Source organism: Homo sapiens, chromosome 19 (assembly GCF_000001405.40).
Source record: "Homo sapiens chromosome 19, GRCh38.p14 Primary Assembly".
Lineage (NCBI taxonomy): Eukaryota > Metazoa > Chordata > Mammalia > Primates > Hominidae > Homo > Homo sapiens.
The window spans coordinates 47,663,833-47,678,520 of NC_000019.10; the positions used below are offsets into that span (position 1 = coordinate 47,663,833).

At 52.3% G+C, this 14,688-nt stretch overlaps 1 protein-coding gene across 2 annotated transcripts in view; it reads left to right on the forward strand.

Annotated features, from left to right (window-relative positions):
• The window catches only part of BICRA (BRD4 interacting chromatin remodeling complex associated protein), a 95,082-nt gene that overhangs the window by 55,637 nt on the left and 24,757 nt on the right, over positions 1-14,688 (forward strand). For both annotated transcript variants that reach the window (NM_015711.3, NM_001394372.1), the window contains exons 2-5: positions 6,611-6,712; positions 9,738-9,783; positions 9,888-9,930; positions 12,019-12,084. In NM_015711.3, the coding sequence (NP_056526.3) occupies positions 9,743-9,783; positions 9,888-9,930; positions 12,019-12,084 (150 nt within the window). In that variant the 5' untranslated portion in view covers positions 6,611-6,712; positions 9,738-9,742. The remainder of the gene's footprint in view (positions 1-6,610; positions 6,713-9,737; positions 9,784-9,887; positions 9,931-12,018; positions 12,085-14,688) is intronic.

Consider the following 14,688-nt stretch of genomic DNA (forward strand, 5'->3'; position numbering starts at 1 on the left):
CTCAAATACTCACTCTTACCATGTATGATACACGTTAATGTCTTCCATTCCATTCCATTCCATGCATTTTAATTATTTAAAGCAGTTCCTGGTCACAACCTGCTAATTTGATTTCACAACCTTCAAAGGCATGACCCATAGTTTGAGAAAGACTGGCCTAGAACAGTCTTTGTTTACATCTTAGCGTTGGCAAGTGTTAACCCTGCACAGAGTCAGGCTTCTGCGAGCGGAGGAGGAGAGGTGGGGAAATGGTGTTTTGAAAAGCAACAGATAGACTTTGCCACATCATTTGCACTTCTTATCAGCAAATGATATCGTTCTGGAGACTTTGTATTACTGGCAGGCAACCTGAGGTTACTCCAATTTATATTGGGAAATTAAAATTCGCCTGTTTGTGGAGCTTAGCTGGCCCTTTTAATTCCGTATCCTGCTAGCAGCCTGGCTTCTGCACAGCTCCTGATGACAGCGCAAAACTCCGATTGCATTACAAGTGGAGGAGGAATTCACACAATTTTCTGGAAGGACACTGTGTCATTGTTGCGTCATGGCTGTTCTCTGGAGCTGGTTGTGGTTTTCAGGCCCGGCCTTTCCTGCTTTTTATAGTGTGGTGGTGAAGAGTGAGGTCTTCAGAATCACAGGGTCTGAGTTCAAATTCTGGTCCCATGGTGCGATCTGGGGCAAGTGTCCTGACCACCTCCGAGTCTCCTTTTCCTGTAAGATGTGCATCAGCAGTGCTTCCGTGGGGATGGGGAGGGATCGGTGGGTATGGAGTAAGCACAGGGGCTGGTACCCGGAAGCACTCAGGCAATGCGGGCTCTTCAGGGTGTGCCAGGCAGCTTCGGCTGTGTGATGCCACAGTGACGAGTGGGCCCGGGTCGCAGTGGTCCGTGGTGGCAGAGGCTGGCTTCTCGCTCGTGTGTGTGCCCGTGGGGGGTTGGCTGTGGCTCTGGCCACATGTCCGCCCTGTTCTGGAACTCAGGGGAACTATGTGATGGCTCTTGAAGCTTCTGCTCTGAACAGACACAGTGCGCCCACTCCATCTCATGGAAGGAGAATCTTTCCGTAGGAGCAGGCCCACTGGGTGGGGGGCAGCGGACAGATGGTTAAAAAGCCAGTGTGCCACACCAGGGCTTGTCTCCAGGGTGCTGGTGACAATTTTGGGTCCGCAACCCTGCATACTAGTTTTCAACCCCCACCCCCCCGCCCCCCCACTCTGCAACCTCAGTCACTGTTTCAAAAGTTTCTGAGTGTGGGGGGTAGGGGAGAGGTCTCCAGCACCCTCCCTGGCTGAGAACCACCAGCTGTGCTCCCCAAGCCAGGGATGGGGTCTGCCTCTGCCCTTTTGCTGTCCTCAGCACCCCCCACCAGACACACAGTAGGTGCCTACTAAATGTACATTTCAGCAGGTTGCCTCTTGAATAAATGAAAGGATTTGTTTAATTTCCTCTGCAAATTCATTCATTCATCCCACAGATATTTATTGAGCTCCTACTGTATGCCACATAATGTGCCAGCCCCAGGGATCTTGCAGAGGACAAAACAAGCAAAAGTTCCTGTCCTGGGGGACATTTCGGTAGAGGAGACACACAGTAAACAACCAAACCATCAGACGGATATATGATATTTGATGTTAAAGTTTTGGTTTTGTTTTTTTTGGGATGGGGTCTCGCTGTCTTGCCCAGGCTGGAGTGCAGTGGCACGATCACAGCTCACTGCAGCCTCGAACTCCTGGGTTCAAGCAATTCTCCTGCCTCAGTCTCCTGAGTAGCTGGGATTACCGGTGTGCAACACCATGTCTGGCTGGTTGTTTTGTTTTTTTTTAATCTTCATGTGTGTCTTGAAAGGCTTCCCCTGCCTTCTGGGTTGAGAGCAGCAAGACACCTAGCTGGCCTGGTGAGGGTGCACACAGTGCAGGTGCCGCAGCGCCCCCAAAACTGCTGTTTTCCATTGCGTTTATCTCATCTGGAAAATGGGGGTAATACCAGGGTGTTTGGAAGGATTCAAAGAACCCTGGTACCTGGCTGAAGCAGGAGATCTGTTAACCCTTCCAGATACACACACAGGCCATGTGCGGCAAACAGCACCAAAGTGGGGCCGGGGACTTCTGTCCAGCCTCACTGGGCTGTGGCCCAAAAGCTCTGGGAGTCGCCCCATTAGATAGCATCAACAGTGGCAATTAAAATGATCACAACTAGCGTACACACTGCTTACAAAGTACTTTAGGGCATGGATTAGAGGTGTTCCTATGTAACAGTCCCATGGAGGACGTAGTGTTATCCTCCCCAAACGGAGGCACAGAGGGGATAAGTAACTTGTCTTAGGGTACACGGCTGGGAACGGGAAGTGGCAGCCCAGGGATGGGAGCCTCAGAATCAGTCAAGGTGCACTTGATTCCTGCTGTGAGCATGCACAGGCAGTAACCCCAGCCCCTCGCCCAATTTCTTTTTTTCTTTTTCTTTTTCTTCTTTTTTTTTTTGAGCTCTGTCATCCAGGCTGGAGTGCAGTGGCGCAATCTCAGCTCACTGCAGCCTCTGCCTCCTGGGTTCAAGCAATTCTCCTGCCTCAGCCTGCGGAGTAACTGGGATTACAGGCATGTGCCACCACACCCAGCTGTTTTGTATTTTAGTAGAGACAAGGTTTCATCATGTTGACCAGGCTGGTCTTGAACTCCTGACCTCAGTTGATCCTCCCACCCCGCCCTCCCAAAGTGCTGGCATTACAGGTGTGAGCCACCACGCCCGGCCTTCTTTTCTTTTTGAAATGGAGTCTCACTCTGTCGCCCAGGCTGGAGTGTGGTGGTGCAATCTTGGTTCACTGCAGCCTTGGCCTCTGTAGCTCAAGTAATTCTCCCACCTCAGCCTCCCGAGTAGATTGGACCACAGGTGCCCACCACCACCCCCTGGCTAATTTTAAATTTTTTTGTAGAGATGAGATCTTGCTGTGTTGCCTAGGCTGGTTCTCCAACTCCTGAGTTTAAGCCATCCTCCTGCCTCAGCTTCCCTGCCTTGGCTGGGATTACAGGTGTGAGCTAACCATGCCTCCCTCCTTTTTACTTCTTTGAAGTAAAATTTTCCTGTGTTGAAACACACAAATCCGAGCTGTTAAATTCTGAACACTCACATAACCACACCTTGGTCACAACACGGACTGTTTCCCTCTCCCCAGGAAGTTCCCGTTCATGTCTTTTTTCTTTTTTTTTTTTTTGAGACGGAGTCTTGCTCTGTCGCCCAGGCTGGAGTGCAGTGGCACGATCTCGGCTCACTGCAACCTCCGCCTCCCGGGTTCACGCCATTCTCCTGCCTCAGCCTCCCGAGTCGCTAGGACTACAGGCGCCCACCCCCACGCCGGGCTCATTTTTTGTATTTTTAGTAGAGACGGGGTTTCACCATTCACACAATGGTCTCGATCTCCTGACCTTGTGATCCGCCCGCCTTGGCCTCCCAAAGTGCTGGGATTACAGGCGTGAGCCACAGCGCCTGGCCCTATTCATGTCTTTAGTGTTGTCATTGGAATGAAAGCACATGAATACAAAATCCTCAGAGACAGCTCTGCAGCCTCCACTTTGAAATTCACCCTCGGGACTGGTTTGCAGAAGCCTCACGGGAGCTGCATCCCCTCCTGTCTCTAATTCTGCTGGTAGGTAGGTCGTGCACAGAGCTTGGGCCACGCCTACCAGAGCCAGGGAGGAGGCATGAACAGACGTGAACCCTTCATCTTGGGAGCTCGTGCACACCTTCAGGCCAGGCAGGAACAGGGCACCCGCATTCCAGAGGAAAAGAATCCTGTGTTCCAGGGTCTTGCGACATCTGCTTTCTAGCTCTTTCTGGGATCGGGACCTGAGAGGAAGAGAGAAAGCCACTCGCCACTCCTGTTCCTTCCTCCTCCTTCCATGCCAGTCCCTTTATCTCCTTTTCCAATCCGAAGCATCCCAGGCATTCATAAAATGATAACAGAGACGCACACCCCCATCACCCAGCCTCGCGATAGTGCCTGAACATTCTGCTGTATTTGTTTCAGATCCTACGAGAGAAGTAGCAGGAGAGGGTCGCCTGTTGGGTAGTGGTGAAGGGCGAGGCCTCTGCAGTGAGCCTGCCTGGGCTGAAATCCCAGCCTGGGTGGGGTGCGGTGGCTCATGCCTGTAATCCCAGCACTTTGGGAGGCCAAGGGGGCACAGATCACCTGAGGTCAGGAGTTCAGACCAGCCTGGCTGACATAGTGAAACTCTGTCTTTACTAAAAATATAAAAAATTAGCTGGGCGTGGTGGTGCATGCCTGTAATCCCAGCTACTCCGGAGGCTGAGGTAGGAGAATCGCTTGAACCTGGGAAGCAGAGGTTGCAGTGAGCCGAGATCGCGTCATTGCACCCAGCACCCAGCACATAGTGGGCCCGCAGTCAGCGTGGTTTATCATTGTCATAGTCGGTCCTTGTTCTTCACAGATCCCGTATTTGCGAATTCACCTACTTGCGAACATTGGTAACCCCAAAACGGTGCTGATCATTTGCAGAAGTGGGTAGAGTGGCCAAAAAAATTGAGCTGCCTGACATGCAGGTTCCCAGCTGAGGTGGGGCCTGATGTCTTGTTTCAGCTCAAATTGCAAAGCAGTGTCGTTTTTGCAATCTGTTTAGTGCCACATTTTTCACATCTTTGTGAGTCTTTTTTTTTTTTTTTTTGAGACGGAGTCTAGCTCTGTCACCAAGGCTGAAGTGCAAGTGGTGCGATCTCGGCTCACTGCAAGCTCCGCCTCCTGTGTTCAAGTGATTTTCGTGCCTCAGTCTCCTGAGTAGGCACGACTACAGGCACCCGCCACCAGGCCTGGCCAATTTTTTCTATTTTTAGTAGAGACTAAAGGGTTTTGCCACGTTGGCCAGGCTGGTCTCGAACTCCTGGCCTCAAGTGATTTGCCCGCCTCAGCATCCCAAAGTGCCAGGATACAGGCATGAGCCACGGCGCCCGGCTGTCTTTGTGCTTCTTATTGGTGATTTCTCTGTTTAAAATGGCTCCTAGGCCAGGCGCAGTGGCTCACTCCTGTAATCCCAACACTCTGGGAGGCCGAGGTGGGTGGATCACTTGAAGTCAGGAATTTGAGACCAGCCTGGCCAATATGATGAAACCTTGTCTCTACTTAGCCGGGTATAGTGGCAGGTGCCTTATCCCAGCTACTCAGGAGGCTGAGGCAGGAAAATCACTTGAACCTGGGAGACGGAGGTTGCAGTGAGCCGAGATCGCATCACTGCACTCCAGCCTGGGTGATAGAGCAAGACTCACACACACAAAAAAATAAATAAAATAAAATAAAATAAAATGGCTACAAGCAGGGTGCAGAAATCTAGTGTTCCTAAGGGCAGTGAGGCTGTGATGTGCCTTCTGGAGAAAATACCTGTGTTAGAGAAGCTTCCTTCAGGTGGGAGTTATAGTCCTGTTAGCCATGAGTTCAATGTGAATGAATCAACAATATAGATTAAATAAGATGGCTTCAAACAGAAACGCATATAAGTCAAGGTGATGTATCGATTGATGGGTGAAAATACAGTGGCCAGAACCTGGCAAGAACCTAGCCTTGTATTTTCCCCAGGAGTGGCAGCTCAGCGTTCACGGTGACTTTCTAGAACCTCACTACTGCAAATAGCAAGAATTGGCTGTATTTTGTTATACTGAAGTGCCAGTAAATGACATAGTATAATGTTATATACTATGTGTATACATAGTATATAACACTATATGTTATATACACTATAGTGTATGTGCTACATATATGTAGTATATATATGGGATAATAGTATGTATAGTGTGGTTTTGTTCTATTTAAATTATTCTTATTTTTATTTTTATTTTATTTTTTTGAGATGGAGTCTCACTCTGTCGCCCAGGCTGGAGTGCAGTGGCACGATCTTGGCTCGCTGCAAGCTCCGCCTCACGGGTTCACGCGATTCTCCTGCCTCAGCCTCCCGAGTAGCTGGGACTACAGGCGCCCGCCAGCACGCCCGGCTAATTTTTTGTATTTTTAGTAGAGACCGGGTTTCACCGGGTTAGCCAGGATGGTCTCGATCTCCTGACCTCGCGATCCACCTGTCTCGGCCTCCCAAAGTGCTGGGATTACAGGGGTGAGCCACCGCGCCCGGACAGATTTTTTTATTTTTGAGACAGGGTCTCACTGTCGCCCAGGCTGGAGTGTAATGCCACTATCCTAGCTCACAGCATCCTTGACCTCGTGGGCTCAAGCGATTCTCCTGCCTCAGCCTCTCAAGTAACTGGAACTACAGGCAAGCGACCATGCCCAGCCAAAAAACTTTCTTTTTGTAGAGACAAGATCTCCCTGTGTTGCCTAGCCACGCTGGTCTCGAACTCCTGAGCTCCAGTGATACTCCTGCCTCAGCCTCCCAAAGTGCTGAATTTACAGGCGTGAGCCACCGCGCCAGCCATTTTGTGTGATTCTAAATTTTTTAAACTTCCCTTGAATGTTGCCTTTTCAGCCTCCCGTCTCTCTTCCATCCCCCTCCTTTGTCCATCCCTCTCCCACCTACATCCCATAGCTCTGTCCGTCTCTGACCACGTCTTTTTCCTTTTCGCTGACTTTCTCACTCACTGTCTGTCTCTCATTTTCTCCACAGCTGGCCCCCAAGAGGACCCTTTCCAAGTCCCCAGCTGGGGGCCCTGTGTAGACCTGGAGTGGACACGCCCCTCCTTCCCTTCATGATTCGTTTGTAGCGCAGGTAACCAGCGAAGCATCCCTGTTCATTCCTGGAGGGGCAACCGTCCCTCATTCCACCTCCCCAGCACCACCTTGGCCCCTGGATGAGGAAGGAGCATTCCTTCCTGGAAGAGCCTGGCTAAGCAATATCTCTGGTTCTTTCTTCTCCCACCTGGGCCTCCTGGGTCATCTGGGCCATCACCCTGCCTCTGCATTAGCTGCAAGCAAAATCTTTCTCTCTGCCCCTTTCCCCTTTTCTCCAGATTCTTTGCAGACCATGCCTTTGCATGCCTTCTGTGAGCGGGTTGGGGAGGGAAGGGGCTCATAGGTCATGGACCTGGTGACACAGGGGGAGGAAGCCTGGTGGGGCTGGGATGTGGAGCAGGTGGTGAGAGTACGTCCTCACCACTTCTAAGGCAGCGAGAGCCCGGGAGGCACCTCCCCGGGGACACTCCCCACAGCCAGCCCCTGAGAGGTAGAGTAATTGGCGTGTGGGGCTCTGGAGATGCATGTGTCTCTGTGCTGCAGGGAGGGTGATCCGTGAACCCTGGAAAAGTATGTGTCACATTTCTTACCCACATGCATGTTTTGGCATGAAACATGCGTGTGTCATTAGATTTTTCACAACTTGATTCAGCAAATATGCCCCAGCCCACTGTGGGGGGTCCCTGGTCAGGGCTCTTCATAATGTCACTGAGCACTGGGGATGGAGGACTTGGGGGTGGCACTAAGGAGGCCCCTGTTAGGGGAGTTCAGAGTATGCTGTCAGGGTGAGGGGCTGTGAACCAGCTGAGGGTGCATGTAAGATTTTATATGTGGGGTTTTTGGGTGGGAATGGTGACCCGTGGCAGTTGTCACATCGTCAGTGAGGTTTGGGACCCCCTACCCCAACAAAAAAAGAGGGTAAGGGAACTCCACGGTCCTGAGCTGTAAATTCCCACCATTCAGGGATCAGGTCTTCTTTTCCATTGTGTATTGTATGTGTCATTGGGAGGAGACGGGAGCAGAGGGTGCAGGAAGTAATGAAGGGATGAGTGGCTGGAAGGATGGGTCTGTGTGGGTATTTGGCAGAAGGGAAGGAGGGGTGTTTGGATGGAAGCTTGGAAGGATAGAGGGATGGGTAGGTAGATGGATGGAAGGATGGAGGGATGGGTAGGTAGACGGGTAGAAGGATGGAGGGATGGGTGGGTAGATGGGTAGAAGGATGGAGGGGATGGGTAGGTAGATGGATGGAAGGATGGAGGGATGGGCAAGTAGATGGAAGGATGGAGGGATGGGTAGCTAGATGGATGGAGGGATGAATAGGTGGATGGATGGAAGGATGGGAGGGATGGGTAGGTAGATGAGTGGAAGGATGGAGGGATGGGTAGGTAGATGGATGGAGAGATGGGTAAGTAGATGGGTGGAAGGATGGAGGGATGGGTGGGTAGATGGATGGAAGGATGGAGGGGTGGGTGGGTAGATGGGTAGAAAGATGGAGGGATTGGTAGGTAGATGTATGGAAGGATGGAGGGATGGGTGGGTAGATGGATGGAAGGATGGAGGGATGGGTGGATGGATGGAGGGATCGGTAGGTAGATGGATGGAAGGATGGAGGATGGGTAGGTAGATGGATGGAAGGATGGAGCATGGGTAGGTAGATGGATGGAAGGATGGAGGATGGGTAGGTAGATGGATGGAAGGATGGAGGATGGGTAAGTAGATGGGTGGAAGGATGGAGGGATGGGTGGGTAGATGGATGGAAGGATGGAGGGATGGGTAAGTAGATGGATAGATGAAGGATGGGTAGGTAGATGGATGGAAGGATGGAGGATGGGTAGGTAGATGGATGGAAGGATGGAGGATGGGTAGGTAGATGGATGGAAGGATGGAGGATGGGTAAGTAGATGGGTGGAAGGATGGAGGGATGGGTAGGTAGGTGGATGGAAAGATGGAGGGAGGAGGAGACTGATGGCTAGAGGGAGGAAAGAGGAAGCTTTGGAGGGAGGGTTGGCTAGTTAAATGTTTCTGAGGGCTGGTTGGATGTTTGGAGAAATGTTTGGAAAGATAAAGAAGTGGATGGATGGATGGATGGATGGAGGCAGGGAAGGGAGGGATGTTTTGGAGGGTTGGAGGAATATTTGGAGGGGTGTTTGAGGGGAGGGAAGGCTAGATGGATGGGAGGGTGGATGGGTAAATAAATACAGAGAACACCTGCTTCCCCTGGTGTCAGATGGGACTAACGATCCCTTCCCTATGGGGGTGGAACAAGCTAACATTGCTGAAGTGCTCAGACAGTGCCTGGCACCTAGTGAGCACTCGACAAATGTTAGCCATCCTCATCCTCATCATTCAGACCATAGGGCTCAGCCTTGCCCCGGTGGCTTCTCTGACTCAGAGCGCCCCTCCTCATGAGCCCCTCTCCCTTGCTTCTGCCTCAGTTTCCCCACCACCCTCCCCTTCCTTGGGAACACATTGCAGACATCTTCAAGGGTCACCCAGAGCCTTGAGCCACAAAGCCCTTCTTGTCTACACTGGCTCCCTCACTCCTTCACCCGTTTATATGTAGGACAGACCCCCACCACACGCCTCATGTCTGGGGAGGCAGGACAGCAGGGTGGTGAAGAGCAGGGCTCAGGAGCCAGGCTTCCTAGGTTCCAGGCCTGGCTCTGCTGCCTGCTTGCTGGGAGACGGAGGATGACCCTCCCGGTGCCTCCAGTTCTCATCTGCAAAGTACAGGCCGTGGGACCCCTCCTGGGATACCCTGAGGATTAGCTTAGTGTGTGTGAGGCATGGTCAGGACTCACTTAGTCTTGGTTGATATCATCATTATCATCATCAGGTGCTGGGAGAGTTGGAGTGGGAGGAAAAGGACCCTGTCCCTGGTCAGGGGTTTCTGGCTGGGAGGGCACCTGGGAGGTATTCCTTGTCCCCATCTATCCCCATGGACTCAAGGGAACAGAAACTCTGACCCCCTCCAGGGGGCTCCCCTGAAGGGAGGGGGCCAGGCAAGCTGCCAAAATCTAACCTTGTCTCCCTCGCCCTCTTCCTGACCCCACCCCATCCAGTGGCGATGGATGATGAGGATGGGAGATGCTTACTAGACGTGATTTGGTGAGTAACGGGCTCCCCACCCCCTGCCCTCTGTCTCAACCCCCTCCCTTCCCTCCCCTCCCCAGCTCCTTACCTCCTCAGCGTCTCTTCCTCTTCTCTTCCAGTGACCCACAGGCCCTCAATGACTTCTTGCATGGATCCGAGAAGGTAAGCATGGGCGCAGGGAGAGGCATTCCCTGAGTGGGGGGCTGTCTAATTGGGAGTGAGGGACAGGGAGAGACATGTCCCTTTGATGAGGTAGCCATCTGCCTTGTGGCTTCTAACGCCAGGCACTGGAGTTACGGCCATGAGCAAAACTCATGGTAATCCCCTGTCCTCCTTCCATGGACACCTCCTTGGGAAACAAAGAAACCAGTCACTAATAAAGGTAATGGTGAAAAGGACCATGTAGAGTATGATAAAAAATAATAATGTCATTTGCACAATGAAAGAGGTTTAAAAGAAAATAAATGGGTCCCAGGGGCTCCTTTAGATAGTGTGATCAGAAAGGGTCACACGAGGGAGGTAACATTGAAGGTGAGACCTGAAGGATCACAGGGAGGTAGGTGGCCAGGCCCGGTGCTCCTGGCAGAGGGAAGAGCAAGTTCAAAGGTGGGAGAGAGCTTGGCATGGTTGAGGAACAGGAAGGAGGCTGATGGGGCCAAACTGAAGGGAAAACTAGTAGGAGGTGAGACTGTAGTAGGTAAAAGTCACCAGGTTGTGTAGGCCTGGAAGCCCGATAGAGGAGTTGTTATTTTTATTCTGAATGTGACAGGCAGCTCTGATGGGCCCTTAAACACGAGAATGCCATATTTGATTTGCTTCCCAGAGAACGGAACAAAATGGGGAAAAGTAGAAGTCTGTTGAGCTCTGAGCAGCTGTATTAGTATCTATGGCTGTGTAGATTATCCCAGCATGCAGTGCCTTCAACAATTGTTAGAGCTCTTGCAGTGTCTGAAGGTCAGGAATCTGGGAGCAGCTTAGCTCGGTGGTTCAGGCTCAGGGACTCTCATGAGGTTGCAGTCAAGCTGTAGGCTGGGGCTGCAGTCATCCAAAGGTTTGACTGGGGCTGGCAGATGTGCTTCCACCAGGACTCATTCCTGTGGCTGTTGGCAGGAGGCCTCAGTTCCTCACCACGGGGGCCTCTCCTTAGTGCTGCTTGAGTGTCTTCACAGCATGGCAGCTGGCTTCCCCCAGAACGAGTGATCCGAGAGAGGACACAGGAGGAACCCGCAGTGCCCTTAATGACCCAGTCTCCAAAGTCCCACACCCTTCCTCCCATCACACTGTATTCACTAGAAGCTAATCAGTCAGTCTGGCCAGCACTCAGAGGGAGGGGAATTGAGCTCCACCTCTTGAAAGGAGAGGTTTCAAATAATTTATAGAGCAGAGGCATGAGCAATGGGATGATGGCAGCCTGGGCCATGGTGCAGGCAGTGGGGGAGGCATGTGGCACTGGATTTGGGATCTATCTGGGAGGTGGCATCAACTAGACTTGCTGGTGGACTCGATGTTGAGGGGGAGAGAGTGTCCACCATGGCTCCTGGATTTTGGCTTGAGCAACTGAGTGGATTCTGGTGCCATTTTCTGAAGTTGGGAATTTGGGGAAGATTCCAGAAGTCCAGGTGGTGCTGGTGGATGTACAAGTTGGGGTTCTGGAGAGATGTCCAGATGGAACAAGAAATTAGGGAAGCCCGAGCCATGGACATACATTCACTGGGCACATATGTGGATGCCAGGGCCTGTTCTGGGCACTAAGGATGGTGCTAAGCATCTGAGAATGCCCTGCCCTTCCAGAGATGGCACCGCATGGCTTGTCAGGTGCCCGGATGGTAGGTGTGCCAGGCACTCAGGCTGCGTTGGGAAAGGAGTACTTAGTGAGAAGGGACAGGAGCTGTTGGACCACGAGTGACCACTCCTGAAGGCTGTGCTACTGGAGAGACTGGGGGGCAGTGGCAGGGCGCAGCTTGGGCAGAGGCGTGAAGGCAGGATTCCGGAATTCGAGGCAGTCACAGCAGGATCGCTTCGCAGGCCAGGCTCGGGGACTCAGTGCTGGGGATGCCTTGGGTTTTAGGCAGGCACCCAAGCCCCTGCCTTTGGGGCCTCTTTTCGGAGGCGAGAGTTTCCCATACCCCCAGCCCTCTCCCATCCCAACCCTTGTCTTTTTGTCCTGAGTGACCCTAAATTGGTTTCTGCTCCAGAGCATGGGCCTGCCCTGCTGACTTTTGACCTTGGATGGGGCGGGTCTTGTTGCAGCTTGACAGTGATGACCTCCTGGATAATCCCGGGGAGGCCCAAAGTGCCTTCTATGAAGGTCCTGGGGTAAGTGCCGTGGCTCCCGATCATTGCCTGAGCTGTTGGGGCTGCCAGCGGGAGGAGGGCCCTGAAGCCAAGAGGGGAGGCTTGGGCTCATCTCGTGAGGGCTGTTGACAGGAGGAGGGCGGGGGTGGGCCACCCAGGGTGGCTGGACCACCCTGGCAGTGCAGGAGGGAGCAGAGCTGGGGAACCCTGTGGGGGGCCAACATGGACAAGGCTGACTGTGCCTTGCAGACCCCTTGGGGAAGAGGTGAGGGTCCCCGAGGCCTTGGGGCCCTGGGGTGGCTCATGCAGAGTGGTTCTGGGGAGCTGAAGCGGATGTGGGTTGTGGGGTTCACAGGGGCACTCCTGGAGAGCAGAGGGCTGGGGGAGGCCTGGGGTCCTGCCCAACTCAGCCATGGCAGGGTGTGACCTAGGGGAGGGGCCTCCTCACCTGCAGACTTCAGTCTTCACCTGGGCAGTGAATATGGGTGCTGAGAAAAGCCCAGAGTGGCCAATGCAGAGGATGTTTATTGAGCACCTACTGTGTGCCTGACTATGCCGGTCCCATGACTAAGTGCCAGTTGTCCACACCACGGTGGCCACCTCCTTCCTCCTTCTCCCTCTTCTGTTGCTGCTTTCCCCCCTTCACCTTTTCCTCCCCCCACCTTCCTTCGGCCTCCCCCCTCCCCGCCTCCCCTTCCTCCTTCCCCCCCTCACCCTCCCCGCCTTCCCTCTTCATCATCAGAACACGCATTCACCAAACACTTATTATACGACCAGCCCTTCCTTGTTATCTTCATTTAGTTCTCACAGCTATAATATCATATTCCAAATAGCTTATCTTTCATAATATAAATGATGAGGAAATGTAGTAATTATATAATGTTGGTCTATTTACAGGCCCAGTAACAGTGGTGATCCTGTTACTATTTTGTGATCACACTTCTTACCACGACCATCATTTTTGTATACCCTAAGATCCCCATTCAGGTTCTAAACACTCTCCACACGTGACATCAGTGAATTTTCACAGGCATCCCAGGAGGCAGGTTGGTTGTGACCATCTGGCAGTTAAGAGCTCAGGGGGTTACAGTGGCCTGCCTGGTCCTCAGTCGGTTGGAGGCTGAGCCAGAGCCCTGTCTGCCTGCCACTCCCCGCCACTCACCAGTGGTTGACCCAGGCAGTTCCCTCGTCTGTGAAATGAGGAAGGGAGCAGCACCCGCCTCATGGGACTGTCACCAACAACAGCATGGAGAATCACAATAATAATGAGTGATGATGATAGATGCTTCTCGAGCACCTGCCAGGGGCCGGGTGATACCGTGAACCCTCCATGTGGATTTACTGAGAATCCTGGAAGCTGCAGATTTTGATGGGTTATCTGGTCAGTATTGGTGGAGATGGAAATCTGTATCATAAGTATTGTTTGTGGGGCTTTCCACACATATGCCTGCAGATATTTTTCCATGCGTGTCCTGGGTTGCAGTCCAGGATAGCATGAAAAGCACTTAAAAAGCATTGAGGCTGGGCACGGTGGCTCACGCCTGTAATCCCAGCACTTTGGGAGGCCGAGGTGGGCGGATCACCTGAGGTCGGGAGTTCGAGACCAGCCTGACCAACATGGAGAAACCCTGTCTCTACCAAAAATACAAAATTAGCCGGGCATGGTGGCACACGCCTGTAATCCCGGCTGCTTGGGAGGCTAAGGCAGGAGAATTGCTTGAACTCGTGGGCGGAGATTGTGGTGAGCCAGGATCACACCATTGCACTCCAGCCTGGGCAACAAGAGTGGAAACTCCGTCTCAAAAAAAACCCAAAGAAACAAAAAGCATTGAACTCACAGTGCGGTTGGCACAGAAGTTCACAAATGGGAGCCACTGCTGATGTGAGCTTTACTCCACCAGAACTACGACTGCTTGTCAGAAACCTTTAGGGCCAGGTGTGTTTCAGAATTTCGAATTTCTCCAATTCTGGAAAAGTGGTGCCATATGTGTGGTGTGTGTCATGTCACACGCTTGCCTTTCGGCGGCCAAACTTGGGATGTCACATCATGTGGATAAATGGATCCCACCTAAAGTGCCATGTTGGTTCTGGTCAGGTTTTGCTGCCAACAGAGCTATGAAAACAGTCTCAGTTCTTAGAGCTTTTTGGGTTTTGTAATTACAGATAAGTGTTGTGGGCCTATATCACTATTTAAACAATAGTTGCTTATTTTTATTTATTTTTGTTTTGTTTTGTTTTGAGATGGAGTCTCACTCTGTCACCCAGGCTGGAGGGCATTGGTAGGATCTCAGCTCATTACAGCCTCCACCTCCCAGGTTCAAGCCATTCTCCTGCCTCAGCCTCCCGAGTAGCTGGGACTGCAGGCACGTGCCACCACGCCTGGCTAATTTTCGTATTTTTAGTAGAGATGGTGTTTCACCATGTTGGTCAGGCAGGTCTCAAACTCCTAGGCTCAAGTGATCCACCTGCCTCTGCCTCCCAAAGTGCTGGGATTACAGGTGTGAGCCACCGTGCCTAGACTTTATTTTTGTTTTTTGGGCGTCAGCTGGTAGAGATTGGGGGACAGCACCCCCGCGGGCTTGGGCTGGATGGGCATGGGCGTGCGATGCAGGATCACGTTGGGCG